This window comes from Homo sapiens, chromosome 1 (assembly GCF_000001405.40).
Source record: "Homo sapiens chromosome 1, GRCh38.p14 Primary Assembly".
Taxonomy (NCBI): Eukaryota; Metazoa; Chordata; class Mammalia; order Primates; family Hominidae; genus Homo; species Homo sapiens.
Genome location: NC_000001.11, coordinates 24243829 through 24247902, shown reverse-complemented (window position 1 = coordinate 24247902; position 4074 = coordinate 24243829).

Sequence of the window (4074 nt, the reverse complement as noted above, 5' to 3'; positions counted from 1 at the left end):
TGAGACAGAATTTCACTCTTGTTGCCCAGGTTGGAGTGCAATGGCGCCATCTCGGCTCACAGCAACCTCCACCTCCTGGGTTCAAGCGATTCTCCTGCCTCAGCCTCCCGAGTAGCTGGGATTACAGGCATGTGCCACCACGCCCGGCTAATTTTGTATTTTTAGTAGAGACAAGATTTCTCCATGTTGGTCAGGCTGGTCTCGAACTCCAGACCTCAGGTGATCCACCCGCCTCCGCCTCCCAAAGTGCTGGGATTACAAGCATGAGCCACCGCACCCAGCCCTTCTTTTTTCTTTTTTTGAGACAGAGTCTCGCTCTGTCGTCCAAGCTGGAGTGCAGTGGCATGATCTTGGCTCACTGCCAACCTCCTGGGTTCAAGCGATTCTAGTGCCTCAGCCTCTTGAGTAGCTGGGACTACAGGCCACTTTTTCTATTTTTAGTAGAGATGGGGCTTTACCATGTTGGCCAGGCTGGTCTTGAACTTCTGATCTCAGGTGATTCACTAGCCTCTGCCTCCCAAAGTGCTGGGATTACAAGCATGAGCCACCATGCCTGCCCAATTTCCTTCCTTTTTAAGACTGAATAATATTGCATTGTATGAATAGACCACATTTCATTTATCCGTCTGTCTGTCAATGGATATTTGAGTTGTTTCCACCTTTTGGCTATTGTGAATAATGCTGCTATGAACATTGGTGTACAAATATGTGTGCCTGCTTTTAATTTTTGGGGGCATATACCCAGAAGTGGAATGAGTTCTATTGTTTTAAGCCTCTGAGACTTTTATAGCTTATTTGTTATAGCAGCAAGTGTTGAAAAATACAATTGCCATTATTATCATCATCATCCTTTTAAGCCATTTCTTGAATACATAGTGTGTGCCAAGGACTAAATCAAGGCCTGTATATGAATTTTCCTGGATTATCTCATTTAATCTACAAAACAACCCGGTGAGGGAAATGCTATTTTATCCCCACTTTAGAGGTGAGTAAACTGAGGCTTAGAAAAGTTAAATGGATGATCCGAAATTACGTAGGATCTCTGCACTTGAGTAGCTCACAGTCCACTGAGGAAGAGAGACAAGAAACAGGCAATTCCAAGGCAGCATGGTGAGTGCTGTGCCAAACAGAAAAAATGTTTTGAAGTCTTTAGCTCAGGGGGAAACAGGGTGGGCAGTGGACAGAGAAGGCTTCCTAGAGAAAGGGAAGTCTAAGCTGAGCCCCAAGAATAGAGAAGGTGTTACTTGACAAGGAGTTGGGGGAGAGGGCTCAGGCAGGCAGGTCAGCACATGGAAAGGCCCAGAGGTGAGTTAGAGACAGCATGATTTATGTGGACAACTGGCAGGATAGGCAGACTCCAACCCAGGTCTGTGGGCTCTGAAGCCTGTGTTCAACCACAGTGTTGTGCTGCCTCCCCTGAAAGGAGGAGAGGGAAGGGAGTGAGAAAGAGGAGCAATGATCCCTGAGATTCCTTCCAGACCTGAAGCTCTGGTTCTGTGATTGCCCGAATCAAGCTCTGTGCAAGAATCAGTGTGGGATCCTTCATCATCATTCTCAGGAAACACAGGCAAGTGGGAATCTGGTCCTCCTGCTGTAACTGTTTTGTGAGCGCATTTTCGAACACATGAGGCCATATGCTTAATTTGGATTACTCTCCCAAGTCTTGGGGGATTTGGCCTGCATGAGAGCAGCCCACCAGGCCTATCACATTGGTTCATCAATATTTAACACAGAAAACCTGCCTGGGCTCAGGCTCAGGCTCAGTGAGTGTGTCTAAATACATCATTTTTTCTCACCTTCCAAAGGTCACGAGGGGCCGGGTGCGGGGGCTCACGCCTGTAATCCCAACACTTTGGGAGGCCGAGGCTGGTGGATCACTTGAGGTCAGGAGTTCGAGACCAGCCTGGCCAACATAGCAAAACCCCATCTCTAACTAAAACTACAAAAATTAGCCAAGTGTGGTGGTGCATGCCTGTAATCCCACCTACTCGGGAGGCTGAGGCAGGAGAATCACTTAAACCCGGGAGGCGGAGGTTGTAGTGAGCCGAGATTGTGCCACTGCATTCCAGCTTGGGTAACAGAGTGACACTCTGTCTCAAAAAAAAAAAAGTCACAAGAAAAGGTCCCCGGGAGGGACAAAGGGTCAGGCCAGGGCTTTGTCCTTCTCTGTGGAGCCTGCAGGCAGGTGGACAGCCTCCTGGCCTCTTGGCTTGGTTACACTCCCCCAGGCCCACCTAAGCCCAGTGCTTGGGCTTCTCTGCCCTTCTGCAGGCAGGTATGCAGGGGCAGCCTCCAGAGTGTTCCAGTGTCCCTGTTCCCAAGAAGCAACCACTAATACCCACTGAGGGCTACTATATTCTGCCACTGTTCTGAGGGAATTTCCACACATTGGCTTGCTGGGTGCGGGGGCTCGCACTTATAATTCCAACACTGGGAGGCTGAGGCAGGCGGATCATTTGAGGTCAGGCGTTCGAGACCAGCCTGACCGACATAGTGAAACCCCATCTCTACCAAAAATACAAAAAATAAATAAAAATTAGCTGGGCATGGTGGCACAGGTCTGTAATCTCAGCTACTCTGGAGGCTGAGGCATGAGAATTGCTTGAATCTGGGAGGTAGAGGTTGCAGTGAGCTGGATCATGCCACTGCACTCCAGCCTGGGTGGCAGAGTGAGACTCCATCTCAAACAAACAAACAAACAGACAAAAAACCACTCTCATAACAGCCCTATATGTTAGGGATAATTAATATCACTGTTCCCATTTTAGAGATGAAAAGACTGAGGCACATAAAGGATGGGTGACTTGCCCAAAGTGAGGTTCAAACCAGGCTGTCTTGCTCCAGAGTTTGAGCAGTGAGTCAACATGCCATCCTGCCTCTGTAGGGTCCCTACAGATAAGAGCAGGGGCTGGAAAAGAAATGTTTGGAGAAAGGGAAGATTTGGGGTTTGACAGACCTGAGTTTGAGCCCCAGCTCCTCCATTGTGCCTGTGCCACCTCTGACAAGTTGCTTAACCTCTCTGGGCCTCTAGGCCTCAGTTTTCTGAACTGCAGAGTGGAGAGCATAATGAATATCCCCTTCCCACCAAGATTCTTGTGGGCATTAAATGAGATGACAGATACAAAGTGCCTGGCACACAGCAGGCAGTCGGTAAATGGTAGCCCTTACTAAGGATTGCACAGTTAATAGGATCAGGACTTTCACAAGATGACACTGCAGATCTGGACCCATTCCTGGTAATCAGTCTCAGGGACAGGAGCCAGCATAGTCTTACAGAAAGTGCTCTGGACCAAGAACTGAGAGTCCTGGGACTGAGTTCCAGTTCTGTCACTTGGGTCAGAGTGCTGCTCAGCCCTAAGCTGGAGGGTCTCCGCTTTTAAATGGGGGAAAGGGGTCAGCCTGGATGTTTCTAAGATTAGTCCCAGCTCTGGCATTGTGGGATTCCTTGAGGTAGGACAGACACATTCAGTCATTCAACAAACACCAAGTGCCCAAGTGGACAAGACACTGCAGAAAGTAAAGCATTTAAGGTAGGACTTGTCTTGAAGAACAGGGAAAAATTTGGCTGGTGAATGGTTATTTTTCACCACTAAAAGCAATGTGCAAGTGGATATTCATTTGCAAACAAACAAACATTAAAAACTTTATCAAAGTTTTTGTCACCACTGCACTCCAGCCTGGGTGACACAGCGAGACTCCGTCTAAAAAAAAAATAGTAAGATACACAAACATAAAGATAATAAAATAAATACAAAGTAAAATATAATAAAAATGATAAAATGCAAAAGTAAAATACAAACAAAATGTTTGCAAATCATATATCTGATAAGGGACTTTCATCTAGAACATATAAGGAACTCTGAAAACTCAATGGTAAGAAAACAGACATCCCAATTAAAACTGGGCAAAATATTTTTTTTTTTTTTGAGATGGAGTCTCGCTTTGTCACTCAGTCTGTAGCGCAGTGGCACGATCTCGGCTCACTGCAAGCTCTGCCTCCTGGGTTCAAACAAGTCTCCTGCCTCAGCCTCCTGAGTAGCTGGGACTACAGGCGCCTGCTACCACGCCCAGCTA